Consider the following 16,158-nt stretch of genomic DNA (forward strand, 5'->3'; position numbering starts at 1 on the left):
AAGGGTTAGAAAATTACTTTTCAATTTTGATTATGGAATAGGTCAGAGCATGCAATTAATAAGACAAAAAGTTTATTTAAACGAACAAACAAACAAACAAAACAAACCTTGCTCAGATAGCCAGAAGGAGATTTAGTAATTACTGCATGTTGTAAGGGGGCCCAGATTCCTGGGTGTACTTGCAGGTAGGTCATACTAGTTACTTAAAGGTAGAGCTTTCTTCAGAGGGAGGGAATACAAATGAGAAAAAAGGCAGACATGGCGAACAAGAAAACCTATTCAGCTGCTACACTTACAAAGGCATATTCTTAAAGGCTAAATCCAGTTATCAATAGTATTCCCTGTGCTGAGAAAATTGGTGCCAATTTTAACTGCTTTTTCTGCTTTTCCAAATTATGTGACATTTTTGGAGCCTAAACAAACCTGCAATGATTCCGTATTGACCACCTACCAATAAACCTCAACTACACACATACCTTTTCTTTCTTGCCTGTGACCCTTTCTCTCTGTCTTTAATTGTAACTGCAACTCTAAGGCATTTGAGGTACATGTTATATAGAAGGTGATATTTTAAAAATAACTCTGTACAGTAAAAAGAAGACCCTGAAAGATCAAAACAAACAAGGATTAGGGGTTAGGAAATTACATTTCTATTGTATTACTACAAAGAATTGCACGTGGTTACTACTAAAGCTAATAGAGGTATTATATAGCAAAAAGTTTTAAAAATATAATTCAAAAAATTCATTTTTCATTATGGTAATTTAGAATGAGAAGGTGTGGATGTACTCCTTATTCTTTTTAAAAAAGGCATGAGGTGTAATGAGCACTAGAAACCATGAATTGGAAGTTGATGGTCAGTGAAAAGATAAAACAGAGAAGATGAGGAAATTTATGTCAAGCTGAAAATGATAAGGTTCAAATGCTTCAAAATAACTTTTATAAAAACTTCCCTTGAAAATTCAGTTTCCTTCCTCATGGTGACATTAGGCATTGGCAGACAGAACTAAAAAAAAATGCATTATTTATTTTTCTTCACAACAGAAAAATATATTTTCTCTACTTATCTTTAGTTAGGAGATTGAATTGCCTTTAAAATCAAAACAATAAAAATCTGAGACACAGTATTTACTTTTAAATTAAAAAAACATTATTTATAAGTATTTTGACTCTTCAACAAATTATTTTACATACTAAAGAAGATAAAGCATAATACAGACTAAAACATTAAGTTAATGTGCAGATTAAGGTAATAATGGCACAAAAAACTGAACTGTAGCTTTAAATGAGAGCAGGCAAAATAATCACAAGCAAGTTGGCAGTAGTATTAACACCTTGGTACCAAAGACATATATTTACAAAAAGTTGTCAGATCCATAGACATTATGATAATTTTATTTAATCAGTATTTATTAACATGATTAGGTTCACTCTTTGTCCTTAATTCCCAGCAGGATTTCGGTCTGCCTATCTTTAGGAAGTTCTGCTTTTGTGGTACCAGTAAGTGGTCATGGCTACACTGGGGTGATTAAAACAGAAGCAAAAGAGGAACCATAACCCAATAGTTTCACTTCTTCCTAGTAAATGCCAGTTGTTTTCTTTCATTTGTGAGCCATCTCAGATTCTTCATACCTAATATTTCACTCCTCCTCCCCTCATTCATTAATGTAACTGTACTAAAAGTTCATTACTGAGAGAAGAAAAGATTGGTAACATGTTTCTCTAGAAGTTAATGGAGGGAGGGAGGTTGCAGGGAGGAGAGTGTGGTTGTGGTAGAGAAAATACAAGGCAGAGAAAAGCCCTAGAATAGGAGTCAAGAAACTTGAGTTTCAATCCTTAACATATTACTTAAATTCTGTGAAACTCTGGGCAAGTTAAGTCTTTCTGAGCCCTGGTCTCTTCATATGCCAAAATACAGTAAAGATAATATCTTCCTAAGTATCTATATGAACTATAGAAATGAGAAATATTTTAAAGTTATAAAATAGCATATATTTATATAAGACTAGCTTGTTATTTGTAATAGGAAAGGGACAATAACTCTGCTAACAGATAAATATATGCAAGGAAGGTTAATTTTCTTTTCTTTTCTTCATGACACAGTATCTAAAGATTGGTGGGCCCTTTTTCAAATTTCCCTGCAACATTTAGCCTGGAGAACAGTTACCTACTGAACAAAGATGATATAATTGTGGATACGTAGGAGAGAATAAGAGATAGAAGCTAAATTCTGGCAACTTTATCCTTTATATCCAGAAGCAGCAATCTATTTGCTTCCCATGAATGCTTAGGCAACCTAAAAATTGGAGCATGCACTAATTTTCAAGGTTCCTGGAATAGACAGTCCTGCAACTGAAAAGAAACATAACTGGTCTCTAATCTTACCTATGAATCAATGCATGAGAATGTAGGTAGGCTAGTCCATGCAAGGCTCCATGAGTAATGGCAGCGATCTCCACTTCCTGAAGTGGTTTTTTATGAACTGAGGAAGGAAAAAAAAAAAAGTCAGTAGATGATCAGTTTCATTCCTCATTTTATTATTTTATACAGCTATACCAGACTGGGTTACATACTTTCTCACATGACAATTTGGGAACACATTCACCTAGATCTTCTATAGAAGATAATAAGTGATCAGACAACAGGAAACCCAAGTATATAAACACAAATGACCCTTCAAAACAAAAATAAAACAAAGAAAGCCTGATATTCCTTAAATGATGCATTGTTAATTTACTTATCAGTTGCAAGCCAAGCCACACTGATTCCAATTAACCAGGCCCAAATTAACCAGTCCCTTCCAACATTTCAATGTCTGGAGTGTTCTAGGTTACATTTTCCTCCTCTGCCACAAAGCCATCTTTAATTACCCCTTCAAACTACAGGTTTTCATTATTTGTGAAAGAAGCTAATAAGCAATTTCTATTCAGAGATCAACAGTGATTTAATTTTTTTTTTTTTTTTGAGACAGGGGTCTCACTCTGTTACCCAGGCTGGAGTGCAGTGTTTCAATCAAAGCTCACTGCAGCCTTGAATTCCTGGGCTCAAGTGATCCTCCTGTCTCAGACTCCTAAGTAGCTGGTATTATAGGTGTTAGCCTCTGTGCCTGGCTCAAGATATTTTTTTTAAAGTAAATTTTTAACACAGCCTCTGGTTATAGCAGCATCTGCAGAGAGGAATGGGGTCAGTCAAGATTTCTGAAAGGGTTTAACATCAATATAACGTGAGACTATCTACCTCTCTTTCACATATACCCATGAATATGATGTTTTTGGCTACATGTACCATATCACATTAGCCAAACATTTTGGTAGTACCTGCCCTGGATGGGCCATGAACTAAAACAGCAGGAAGACTGCTAACATCACTCAGACACTTTCAGTGGCATTGAAGAGAGGAAGTGTGCATGGCTTATCCACACCACCCTAAAGCTCAAGCCATCATTCAATTAGACTGCCCAAACTACACTTTAGTATGGCGGTAGATAACATTCTGATCAAAGTAAAACAGAAAGGAGAGTTTAATTCCTTCTTTCTTACCTTCTAATAAATCAGAGGCTGAGCCTAAGCAATATTCCATCACCAACTATAAGAGATTAAAATAATATTCAGAATAATGAAAGTTAATTTAAAAACTGCTGAAACCAACTAAACAACCAATCAAGGAACTAAGAATACTAGGTGAATAAATATTCTGATCTACCCGAACTTGGACTGAATTTTTGTCATCTGGCACTAATTGATTTTTATAATTTTCATCATCTCAGTTTTTATTATTTCTTGTTTGAAATTGGCCTAAAGATTATTGGGGGACTAGATATAGAAATATTCACTATAAATGGTGAAGCCAAGATTGCCAATTTATTTATTAACTCCTTCACTACTTTATTTCAAAAAGGATTCAGGTGACTATGTTGTACTATAAATTTGTAACTCAGAAAGTGGCAAACAAATACACGAGCCAGTAAAATCTATTTTGGGGTTATACCAGTTAAATAAAATAAACCAGTAAGTAGTAAATTCCTTTTTTTCACACTTTAAAAAGTTTTAAACAAGAAACAGATATTGTTTTGAACTGAATCTGAAGATGTAGCCTGCTATGTATCATTACATTACCTTGAATCCCTGAGATATATGTGTTATTTACATTTAGATCTTAAAATATTTCCAGAATAATATTATTATAATACTATTGATAGGCTAGGTGCAGCGGCTCACGCCTGTAATCCCAGCACTTTGGGAGGCTGAGGCAGGTGGATCACCTGAGGCCAGGAGTTCAAGACCAGCCTAGTCAACATGGTGAAACCCCATCTCTACTAAAAATACAAAAAATTAGCTTGGCATGGTGGCTTGCACCTGTGGTCCCAGCTACTTGGGAGGCTAAGGACGGAGAATCGCTGGAACTCGAGAGGTGGAGGCTATCGATAGTTATTGGGTTTGCAATCTGCGGAGGCTTTCTAAAAGCAAAAGTGAGAAACCTCTTTCTTTACTCTTTTTTTTTTTTTTTTTTTGAGACGGAGTTCACTCTTGTTGCCCAGGCTGGAGTGCAATGGCACGATCTTGGCTCACTGCAACCTCTACCTCCTGGGTTCAAGCACTTCTCCTGCCTCAGCCTCCCGAGTAGCTGGGATTACAGGCATGCGCCACCACACGCGGCTAATTTTGTATTTTTAGTAGAGACGGGGTTTCTCCATGTTGGTCAGGCTGGTCTCAAACTCCTGACCTCAGGTGATCTGCCCGCCTCAGCCTCCCAAAGTGTTGGGATTACAGGTGTGAGCCACCGTGCCCGGCCTCTTTCTGTACTCTTATCCTCGATTTCTTTTTTTTCTTTGTATTTTTAGTAGGGACGGGGTTTCACCATGTTGGCCAGCCTGGTCTTGATCTCCTGACCTCGTGATCCACCCACCTAGGCCTCCCAAAGTCCTGGGATTACAGGCATAAGCCACTGCACCTGGCCCTTCTTATCCTAGATTTTTAGGTGCCCAAGACTACTGATTTGTAGTCAAGGTCAAAACTATCAGGGTTCAGCAACCAATCTCCACACACACATGCAAGCATTCACACTCCTACAAATTATTGTTATTTAAAAGAATAGTAGATGCTCATTATGAAATATAAATTTCCTATAATAAACTAGACATAACCAATATCAACATATTAGTTCCTTTCATTAAAAAAATTAATGTGAAAATATATTTATATTATGTACCTTGCATTACTGAGATAATTTAGAATATGTGATGTCTAGAAGTTTAAAATTTAGAAACTATTATACTTTTATAGTTATATATTATAAATATCAATATATATGAACATATTATAAATATAAGTATACTGTGTCTATATTATATAGAATGCAATTAAATTAGATATAACATACTTATAATACTATTTATATATTACATATGATTATGTCTTATATTTTATAGTTTTACAGTTATATATTTATATAGTATGTACCTTGCATTTCTGGAATAATTTAGAACAATGAGAGGTTTAGAAGTTTAAAATTTAGAAACCATACTATAGTTTTCTGCTTGACATTAAAAACAAACAGATTCAGAAACATTAATCTTATTTCTTATTATAAAATGGAAGATTCTACATGAGTAAATGTTATAATGAACACTAGCCTTTATGTGCCCTACTTTTTCTTTAATCAATTTTGATGAAAGCATTTCTAAATTTTATTACATAATTTTCTAATTTTTAAAAGTAACTGAATATGCATACATAACCTCCTTAAACCAAGCATATGAAATGTGAATATAGAACTTTAAAACTGAATAGAATGAATATGTTTCTAGCTGCATTAAATGTTTTAAATTACATGTTTAAAAACTCAGCATTTTTGTCACAAATATTTTTTCCCCTATTATTCTATAACACAAAGGCACCTGAGATGGTTGTTTGCTCCTGACACTAAACAGCTCTGGCTGCTCTGCCTTTAAATGATTAGCTCTGCCTTCTAGCTCCCCTGACTTTTTCCGTATGGTTAAATTATTCTTGTGCCTGTTTGTATGCATGTATCTAACAGCTCAGTTCCTTAGAGCTCTTTCTGATTGGTCTATCAAACCAGTTGTAGACAGAAACCAGGTAGCCATGCTTATTAGCAGTCTATATAATCTAAGAATAAACAGGTGGCCGGGTGCAGTGGCTCATGCCTGTAATTCCAGCACTTTGGGAGGCCGAGGTGGGCGGATCACCTGAGGTCGGGAGTTCGAGACCAGCCTGACCAACATGGAGAAACCCCGTCTCTACTAAATACACAAAATTAGCCGGGTGTGGTACTCCGGTGGCTGAGACAGGAGAATCACTTGAACCCGGGAGGTGGAGGTTGCAGTCAGCCGAGATCGCGCCATTGCACTCCAGCCTGGGCAACAAGAGCAAAACTCTGTCTCAAAAAAAAAAAAAAAGAGAAAAACGAGCTTCAAGTAACAGTGTGAAGGATTTTCTGAAGACTTGAAATACATGAGATTTTAGCACTTGGATTTTGTAACATTTATTCTGCCTGCTTGAAATCCCTTTCTTGACTCCTTCAAGACAGCTGAGATTGCCAGAGAACTGATTTCTAGACAATGAGATATGTCTTTGATTAATTTCTTATTTTCAGAATGGAAGCAATAGCTCTACATAAAAGTTCCTTGAACAGAAATATGTATGTTTAGTATACTGTTTGATAGTCTATTTAAGAACAAAATTCCATTCCCTAATTAGAGATCACATACAGGAAAGGAGTTGGTACATGGTAAACAATAAATGCTAGTTAAATTGGAGTTTAAGTAGGAATGTGCAATTTGAAAAAGTAGAAAGCATAACATTTTCACATCCTAAATGTGCCTAATGTGCCAACCTAAAACCAGAAATACAATCATATAAAAATATACTAAGGGCCGAGCACAATGGCTCATGCCTGTAATCCCAGCACTTTGGGAGGCTGAGGCAGGTGGATCACCTGAGGTCAGGAGTTGGAGACCAGCGTGGCCAACATGGTGAACCCTATCTCTACTAAAAATACAAAAAATTAGCTGGGTGTGGTGGCATGTGCCTGTAGTCCCAGCTACTCAGGAGGCTGAGGTTCAAGAATCACTTGAACCCAGGAGGCAGAGGTTGTAGTCAGCTGAGATCGCACCACTGCACTCCAGCCTGGGCAACAAGAGTGAATCTGTCTCCAAACAAACAAACAAACAAACAAAATATATATATATATATGAGTGTGTGTGTGTCTGTGTGTGTGTGCATGTGTATATATATTTATATATATATATCACAATAAGATGACAGAGTGGAACAAAAGTCTCTTATTTTAATCATATGGTGGCCCCTGTTTGGTAAAAATCACATAGCAATTAAAACATCAAGAACAATTCCAAATATGGGGGGAACTGGAGTGGAGGATGAGAAATGACAAAGATAAAAATTCTAGGATGAGAATATAAGGCTGTGCCTTTTACTTTTACAAACAAATAATTATAAAATGATGTCAACTTTTCACCATCTCTTTCTGAGTGTTTATAGAATGGAATTTCTAATAGGCTAGATATCATTTAATCTTACAGAATATATACCAAGTGACACACCAAAGTATTAACAAATGTTAAATACTGATAACAAAAGTTAAATGGAACAGAAATGAAATTAGTAATTTTACAGATCAAATAGATAATAGAAAAAAAAGAAAAAGAAAAAAATGTAATAGTAAAAGATAATAGAGGTCCTTCGACTTACCCAAGCAGTGTGTTCTTTCAAGTAACAGCCTTTGTACTCAATAGTATTAGGATGCTTCAATTGTCGTAAAAATTTAACTTCCTTAAGAATATCTTGCCATTTCTATTGAAGTCAGAAAAGGAACATTTTAATTTAATTTTTGATAGGAAAATAGTATTTCCTATCAAGTATACGTATATATCATTTATATTATTGTAAATGGACATAAAGTAAATGTTTAATAAATGAAGAAGCTATTTAAACATGCTATTTCTTTCTCTCTCTCTTTTTGTTTTTAATTGAGACAGAGTCTTGCTCTATCGCCCAGGCTGGACTGCAGTGGCACGATCTCGGCTCACTGCAACCTCTGCTGCCCGGTTCAAGGTTCAAGTGATTCTCGTGCCTCCCAAGTAGCTGGGACTACAGGCGTGCACCACCAGACCAAACTAATTTTTTTGTATTTTTAGTAGAGACGAGGTTTCTCCGTGTTGGCCAGGCTGGTCTCGAACTCCTGACCTCAGGTGATCCGCCCACCTTGGCCTCCCAAAGTGCTGGGATCACAGGCGTGAGACACTGTGCCCGGCCTAAACATGCCATTTCTTTAGTTTGAATACATGTAAACACAAATCTATCACCAAATACATTACAAAAAAGCCATTACACATACCCATGTTCTGGTCTGCAAAATAGTTTTTTTCCTTTTCAGGCACCCAGGCTAGAGTACAGTGTTGCAGTCACAGCTCACTGAAGCCTCCACATCCCAGGCTCAAGCAATCTTCCCACTTGAGCCTCCCGAGTGGCTGGACTACAGGCACACACCACCACACCCAGCTAGTTTGTTTGATGTTTTGTAGAGGTGGGGTCTCACCATATTGCCCAGGCTTGTCTTGAGCTCCTGGGCTCAAGCGATCCTCCAGCCTTGGCTTCCCAAAGTGCTGGGATTACAGGCCTAAGCCACCTCATCCAGCCTGCAAAATAGTTAATTGAGCTAGAACATTAGCCTTTTTAAAAATAATTATGAATGTTCACACATTTGTATGAAAAACTTCAGGAACTTTTATTATATGCTCCACAAGAAGGAAAAAAAAATTGTTCTAAAAAAAAGTTTAAAGAATTTTGTTAATTTCTTTTTTCTTTTTCTTTTTTTTTTTTTGAGACAGAGCCTCGCTCTGTCACCCAGGCTGGAGTGCAGCGGCGTGATCTCGGCTCACTGCAAGCTCCGCCTCCCGGGTTCACGCCATTCTCCTGCCTCAGTCTCCTGAGTAGCTGGGACTACAGGCGCCCGCCACCACGCCCGGCTAATTTTTTGTATTTTTAGTAGAGATGGGGTTTCATCATGTTAGCCAGGATGGTCTCAATCTCCCGACCTCGTGAGCCGCCCACCTCGGCCTCGCAAAGTGCTGGGATTACAGGCGTGAACCACCGCGCCCGGCCAGAATTTTGTTAATTTCATACTAACTTGTTTATTTCAGTTTAGGTATACAACTGTCTCTATCTCACCTCATGGGTCTGCTTCCCACTATAGGACATCTTCTTAATTGCCACCACCTCACTGGTGTGAGCATTTGTAGCCTGTGTTAAGAGGGTAGAAGAAAAAGAAAAAGAATTAGTGATGTTTCAGCCAATTTAACTTAAATATTTGACTAGAGACTATTTATTTATATATTTATTTATTGACAGTCTCATTCTGTCGCTCAGGCTGGAGTGCAGCTCACTGCAACCTCTACCTCTTGGGTTCAAGCGATTCTCCTGTTTCAGCCTCCCAAGCAGCAGGGATTACAGGCACGCACCACCATGCCACGCTAATGTTTTTTGTATTTTTAGTAGAAATGGGGTTCCACCATGTTGACCAGGCTGGTCTTAAACTCCTGACTTCAAATGATCCGCCCGCCTCGGCCTCCCAAAGTGCTGAGATTACAGGTGTTTTATTTTATTTTTGGAGAAAGAATCGAGCTGTGTTGCTCATGCTGGAGTGCACTGGGGCACGATCTTGGCTCACTGTAGCCTCTGCCTCCCGGGTTCAAGCTATTCTCCTGCTTCAGCCTCTCAAGTAACTGCGGATTATAGGCACCCACCACCACACCTGGCTAATTTTTATATTTTTAGTAGAGATGGGGTTTCACCATTTTGGCCAGGCTGGTCTCAAACTCCTGACCTCACGTGATCTGCCCGCCTCAGCCTCCCAAAGTGCTGGGATTACAGACGTTAGCCACCGTGCCTGGCCTCATATTATATTTAAAATAATATCTCCATACTGCAGTATCACAGTTCAAAGATGCTTCACTTTTTGATAGGCTAAATAGACATCTCCACTCCCATTTTAATGTATAGTTTATCTATATTCTTTTCTGGATACATGTAAAGATTGTAATATAAAAAATGATTAGGGTTTAATATATCAAACCAAACAAAAAATGTCATATTCCCAAATGACCCATTCTGGCTTCACCTTGTAAACTGTCCATCAATGGAGAACCAGTTAAATAAATAAATATGATATGACCATATAATAAAATAACCACTTAAGGAATGAGGTAATCTATGTGCAATGCAATATGAAAAGATGTTAAAAATGTTTTGGTCAAAAACAAGCTATAAAGTAGAATCCAATTTTTGCAAAATAGTAATAATGTGAGTATACGTGTAGAAAAAATTATAAAAGAATTGCTTCTTTTCCGAGAAAACAACAAATGGCGGATGACGCCGGTGCAGCGGGGGGGCACGGAGGCCCTGGTGGCCCTGGGATGGGGAACCGCGGTGGCTTCCGCGGAGGTTTCGGCAGTGGCATCCGGGGCCGGGGTCGCGGCCGTGGACGGGGCCGGGGCCGAGGCCGCGGAGCTCGCGGAGGCAAGGCCGAGGATAAGGAGTGGATGCCCGTCACCAAGTTGGGCCGCTTGGTCAAGGACATGAAGATCAAGTCCCTGGAGGAGATCTATCTCTTCTCCCTGCCCATTAAGGAATCAGAGATCATTGATTTCTTCCTGGGGGCCTCTCTCAAGGATGAGGTTTTGAAGATTATGCCAGTGCAGAAGCAGACCCGTGCCAGCCAGCGCACCAGGTTCAAGGCGTTTGTTGCTATCGGGGACTACAATGGCCACGTCGGTCTGGGTGTTAAGTGCTCCAAGGAGGTGGCCACCGCCATCCGTGGGGCCATCATCCTGGCCAAGCTCTCCATTGTCCCCGTGCGCAGAGGCTACTGGGGGAACAAGATCGGCAAGCCCCACACTGTCCCTTGCAAGGTGACAGGCCGCTGCGGCTCTGTGCTGGTGCGCCTCATCCCTGCACCCAGGGGCACTGGCATCGTCTCCGCACCTGTGCCTAAGAAGCTGCTCATGATGGCTGGTATCGATGACTGCTACACCTCAGCCCGGGGCTGCACTGCCACCCTGGGCAACTTCGCCAAGGCCACCTTTGATGCCATTTCTAAGACCTACAGCTACCTGACCCCCGACCTCTGGAAGGAGACTGTATTTACCAAGTCTCCCTATCAGGAATTCACTGACCACCTCGTTAAGACCCACACCAGAGTCTCCGTGCAGCGGACTCAGGATCCAGCTGTGGCTACAACATAGGGTTTTTATACAAGAAAAATAAAGTGAATTAAGCGTGAAAAAAAAATTATAAAAGAATTTATACCAGAATATATATCAGTGATAATCCCTGGAGCAGTGCTATCTGATAGAACTTTCTTTGATGATGGGACAGTTCTATTTCTAGATTGTCCAAAAGAGTAACATGTGAAATGTGGCTAGTGTGACTGAGAAAATAAATTTTAAATTTTAATAGTTAACGTGCCTACTTGCTATTGTATTGAACAGTACAGCAGAAAGTAAGATTAATCCTAAGGGGGACTTTGGTTTTCAGGATTACTTATATTTTATAATAAGACTGTATTACATATATACATGCCTACATTTATGTATGTATATATGTGTATTTTTTATCTATAGAGGTTGCCTTGTCTCATAATTATGTCTACTTGTCTTCTCCATACTCCAAATGTAACAGTTCATTGAAAGTACATATGAAAACCATTAATAATTCAAGTAATAGTCTTTTCCTCTCAACTTACTCAAGATATACATATATATATATACACACACACACACATACATACGTACATACTTTTTTCTTTTTTTAAGACAGGATCTTGCTCTGTCATCCAGGCTGGAGTGCAGTGGTACAATCTCAGCTCACTGCAACCTCTGCCTCCCAGGCTCAAGTGATCTTCCCACCACAGCCTCTTGAGTAGCTGGGATTACAGGCGGCCACCACCACGCCTGGCTAATTTTTATATATGTAGTAGAGACAGGGTTTCACCATATTGGCCAGGCTGGTCTCGAACTCCTGGCCTCAAGTAATCCGCCCGCATCAGCCTCCCAAAGTACTGGAATTATAGGCGTGAGCTACTGCTCCCAGCCTCAACTTATTTAAAATATTTAAAACTATTAGTTTTCTTAAAATTTTCATAAAAATAAATACAAGACATTAAAAGATTACCTCTGCATCAGTGCCATACCCCTAATGTAAGTAAGCTATTTTGCTTCTGTCACATTATTATCATTGTGGACCAATAAAGCTATCGCAGTGGTTCTGAAGTAAAAGATTGGAATTCATTCACTGATAAAGTCAGGTTAACAATTTTAGAGAAAAATTCATAATCATTTTCTTAAATACAACTAATTTAAAATGAACCTCTTCAGATACAATGGTTTCTTTATGATTTTTAAAAACGGTTAATTCAAACAATAAACAATAATGTAGTATGTACAAATAATTTGACCACAGATTCTTATGGAATGTCAAAATGAAAAAAAAAAAAACCCACAATAACGTACTACAGGAGTTTTTTTTAAAAAAGCATTAAGGTAAAAGTACCTATTATATATTAATGAGTTATCCACTAGACATAATTTTCCAGTCTGCAGAACTCCACAAAAGCATATTTTAGATATTTTATTGATTTAGAAAGTACAGAATGACTTTTGTTAAAAACAAAAATCTCTAACACTGTTCTGGCTTTTAAACTTTAACACTAAACTGTGCTTATATGGCAATCATAAATAAAAGCTGATGTAAATTCAGTATTACAATAAAGGTTAAAGGGACTATATCTGAAAAGTAGATATTTGAGGCATCAATATATATAGTGCAGCTTAAGGAGCCTGAGAAAGATTTAGGAAATATTCAGGCAATGAGAAATTTTAACTTCTTGTGAGGTTTTAAAAAATAATTAACCATTACTAAAAAATAGAAAAGCCCACAGAAATAAAATCAGATAGTATTATTATTTAATTGCTTATTAAGGTTATTTATAATTAATGCTATATTTGGACCTAAAAACATGAAAAATAACCACCCTAAAATAAAAATATATTTCTTACATTTATAGGATAATCACTGATTAGAACTTAATGCTTCCACTCACTTACACATCCTAATGTATAGGCAGAGACTTGAAATTTGAAAAACATTTCCATGTTGATTATTCTATAGATGTGAACTTTTTAGTGCAAATGTTAATTTTGCTATAGATGTGAATTTTTATACTGGCTAAAAGTCAAAACATGCTAGATAGAAACTTAAAAAAAAATCAATGTTTTAGTACAGAAAAAGGAGAGTATCAATGGGGTCTCAGCTTTCTAGTGCATACAGTACTATGAATGACTACAGCCTCTATCATTTCAAGTTTTATTCTTGAAACTTACATTCATGCTTAATACTTCCAATAGTCTCAATGGTCTCAGTAACTATTACCAAGATCATTGATTCAAGAAATACTTATTAAGAACTTACTATTATGTGTTTATATTTTTAAACATTTTACAGCTATACCTTTTGCTATTTTATAGACAAATATAAAAAATTATGTTAATTTAGGAGGCAGGCCAGGCATGGTGGCTCACTCCTGTAATCCCAGCACTTTGGGAGGCCAACGTGGGTGGATCACCTGAGGTCAGGAGTTTGAGACCAGTCTGGCCAACATGGTGAAAGCCTGTCTCTACTAAAAATATGAAAATTAGCAGGGCGTGGTGGCACACGTCTGTAATCCCAGCTACTTGGGAGGCTGAGGCAGAAGAACTGCTTGTACCCAGGAGGCGGAGGTTGCAGTCAGCCAAGATTGCACCACTGCACTACAGCCTAGGTGACAGAGTGAGATTTTGTCTAAAAAAAAAAAAAAAAAAATAGGAGGCTGAGGCAGGAGGATCACTTGAGCCCAGGAGTTTGGAACCAGCCTGGGCAACATAGCAAAACCCTGTATCTACAAAAAAATTAAAACCAAAATTAGCTGGGTGTGGTGGCACATGCTTGTAGTCGTAGCTACCTACTCAGGAGGCAGAGGCAGTAGGATTGCTTGAGTCCAAGGGTTCAAGGTTACAGTGAGCTATGATCACACCACTGTACTCCAGCTTGGGTGACAGAGTGAGAGACCCTGTCTCTAAATAAATGAATAAATAAAAATTTTAAAAGTGAAAAAGCTTTCTTTTTGCCCTATTTTTTGAACCCCAACTAAAAGGTAATTATATCCAGAAAGATAGAATTAAACTATTTGCTTTAGGTGGGTTATGGATAATATACTGAGTTCAACAAAGGTGATCTAGAAACCTACAAACTTTAGAGTTGTGTTTAGGTGAATACAAAAATGAACATGCGCAGTCCTTTTTTTGTTTGTTTTCCTTTAGTACAGTTTCTTACTACCTCATTTGTTAATGCTGCTAATTTATTCTTTATTTTTTTAATTTTTTTTTTAGAGATGGGTTCCCACTATGTTGCCCAGGCTGGTCTCGAACTCCTGGGCTAAAGTGATTCTCCCACCTCGGCCTCCCAAAGTGCTGGGATTACATGTGTGAGCCACCACGCCCAACCAATGATGCAAATTTCAAAATTACTTACGTAAATCCAAACACACAGAAATACTTCATCAAGTTAATAATTTCTGTTTTCTCTGAACATAACATATACTCTCAGCTGATTGATTTTACAAGAGCTGTTCCAGCTTACAATTCACACTAAGTTTATTCCCTGGCAGCATTCAGTGTAAAAAGCTGTGACCTACAGAGGCTAACAGAATTATAGTGTTTAGGTATAAAAATACTAGCTGCCAGACTCTGGTCTTTATGGCTTGCCAGCATGACTATGACTTATGAAAAGTACTAATTAGCAGTACCAAGTTCTCAGAGTTCTTCATCATTCATTCATTCAACAAATACTTATTAGCTGCCCACAATTTATCAGGAATTGGGCTAAGTGCTAGGGATAAGATAGTGAGTTAATATGCCCAGTACCTATCTCTCCTCTAGGAGGATAGACAATAACAAAAATAAAACAATAAAAGACAAAATGTAAAACTGCAATTCTGATATGTGCCACAAAGAAGGGTATTTGTTACTTTGAGAACCAACAACGGTGGATGTGACTTAGGGAGGTCAGGAAAGCCTTCCCTGAAGAAATGAGGTTTAGGCTGAGAGCTAAATGATGAACAGGAGTTAAGAAGGTGAAAATAGAAGGGAGAAATATTCGAGAGAGAACAGTTTACGCAAGATTCCAGGAAGGATGATCAGAAGAAAGGAATCAGAGCTACAGCAATGAGAATGAGAGAGAAGATAGCTCAAGTAGAGATAGGGACCATGAAGGACCTTGTGGGCTGGCTATAGTAGGGATTTTGATCTTGGCCTAAGAACGAGGGAGAGCCCCTAAAGGCTTTATAGGGAAAGGGGATGGGATGAGATTTACATTTCTTTTTTCAAGCTCATCGAGGTATGCACAACAGACTGAAGAGACCAAAGCAGGCAATCATAGTTGTCCAAATAAGAGATAGCAGAGTCTTCCTGGTAATAATGGTACAAGTAACAAAAGGAAAAATCTATTAGCACGGAGTAAGAAGCAACTTATATAAATACTACTTTGGCCAACAGGAAAATCCATTTTTAAGGTACTGCCCATGTGACCACTACAGATAAAAGGTTAAAGCTTTTCGTAAGTTCTATAGTACAGTGTCAGTTAATTCCCTTTTAATCTGTTTTTTAGTGCTTTATGGGTGTACATAGGCCTGTACTTTTCACATTTATATACAGGCCCTATAGAGTTAATGATTACGTTTATCAATGCCACTCTGCTACCTGTATCATTTCTCTAGTCTATCATCAGCAACAAATAATATATATTTAGTGCCTACTGTAAATGAGATCGTGCCAGCCTTTAGAGTTGTAAACAAATATTAGAAATAGTCCTCACCTTCAAAAACGCACACACTCTAGCTAAATAGACAGGGCTTAGCCCAAAAAGCAAATAAACCACTAGGTCTTCTGCAGCCTAGTACAACGTAGGTCTCATTTTGCCACTATTATAAATGGCTTTTAGTAAGTTTCAAAGCATGCTTGGTTTATTGTAGTCATTCTGAAACATTAGCACTTTAAGAAGGGTTTGGCTGCTTTTTTTTTTTTTTGAGACA

At 37.9% G+C, this 16,158-nt stretch overlaps 1 protein-coding gene and 1 pseudogene across 8 annotated transcripts in view, besides 2 other annotated features; one reads left to right on the plus strand and one right to left on the minus strand.

Annotated features, from left to right (window-relative positions):
- TAOK3 (TAO kinase 3) overlaps positions 1-16,158 on the minus strand; it is a 223,107-nt gene that overhangs the window by 85,887 nt on the left and 121,062 nt on the right. For 4 of the 8 annotated variants that reach the window (NM_001346493.2, NM_001346492.2, NM_001346490.2 and 1 more), the window contains 5 exons: positions 9,207-9,278; positions 7,728-7,829; positions 3,540-3,585; positions 2,386-2,482; positions 108-1,006 (listed from right to left, as the gene is read on the minus strand). Coding sequence is in view for 4 of the 8 variants with exons in the window: in NM_016281.4 (NP_057365.3) it covers positions 2,386-2,482; positions 3,540-3,585; positions 7,728-7,829; positions 9,207-9,278 (317 nt within the window). In the remaining 4 variants the exon portion in view is untranslated. The remainder of the gene's footprint in view (positions 1-107; positions 1,007-2,385; positions 2,483-3,539; positions 3,586-7,727; positions 7,830-9,206; positions 9,279-16,158) is intronic. The other 4 variants (NM_016281.4, NM_001346487.2, NM_001346488.2 and 1 more) reach the window with 1 other exon arrangement.
- Positions 1,624-1,693: an enhancer, noted in NCBI's record as "active region_7108". NCBI's record gives its function as "activates an Ori minimal core promoter by ATAC-STARR-seq in GM12878 lymphoblastoid cells {active_cell/tissue: GM12878}" and the evidence as "EXISTENCE:reporter gene assay evidence [ECO:0000049][PMID:35858748]".
- Positions 1,834-1,883: an enhancer, noted in NCBI's record as "active region_7109". NCBI's record gives its function as "activates an Ori minimal core promoter by ATAC-STARR-seq in GM12878 lymphoblastoid cells {active_cell/tissue: GM12878}" and the evidence as "EXISTENCE:reporter gene assay evidence [ECO:0000049][PMID:35858748]".
- On the plus strand, positions 10,374-11,315 carry RPS2P5 (ribosomal protein S2 pseudogene 5; annotated as a pseudogene).

This window comes from Homo sapiens, chromosome 12 (genome assembly GCF_000001405.40).
Source record: "Homo sapiens chromosome 12, GRCh38.p14 Primary Assembly".
In the NCBI taxonomy this organism is placed as follows: Eukaryota; Metazoa; Chordata; class Mammalia; order Primates; family Hominidae; genus Homo; species Homo sapiens.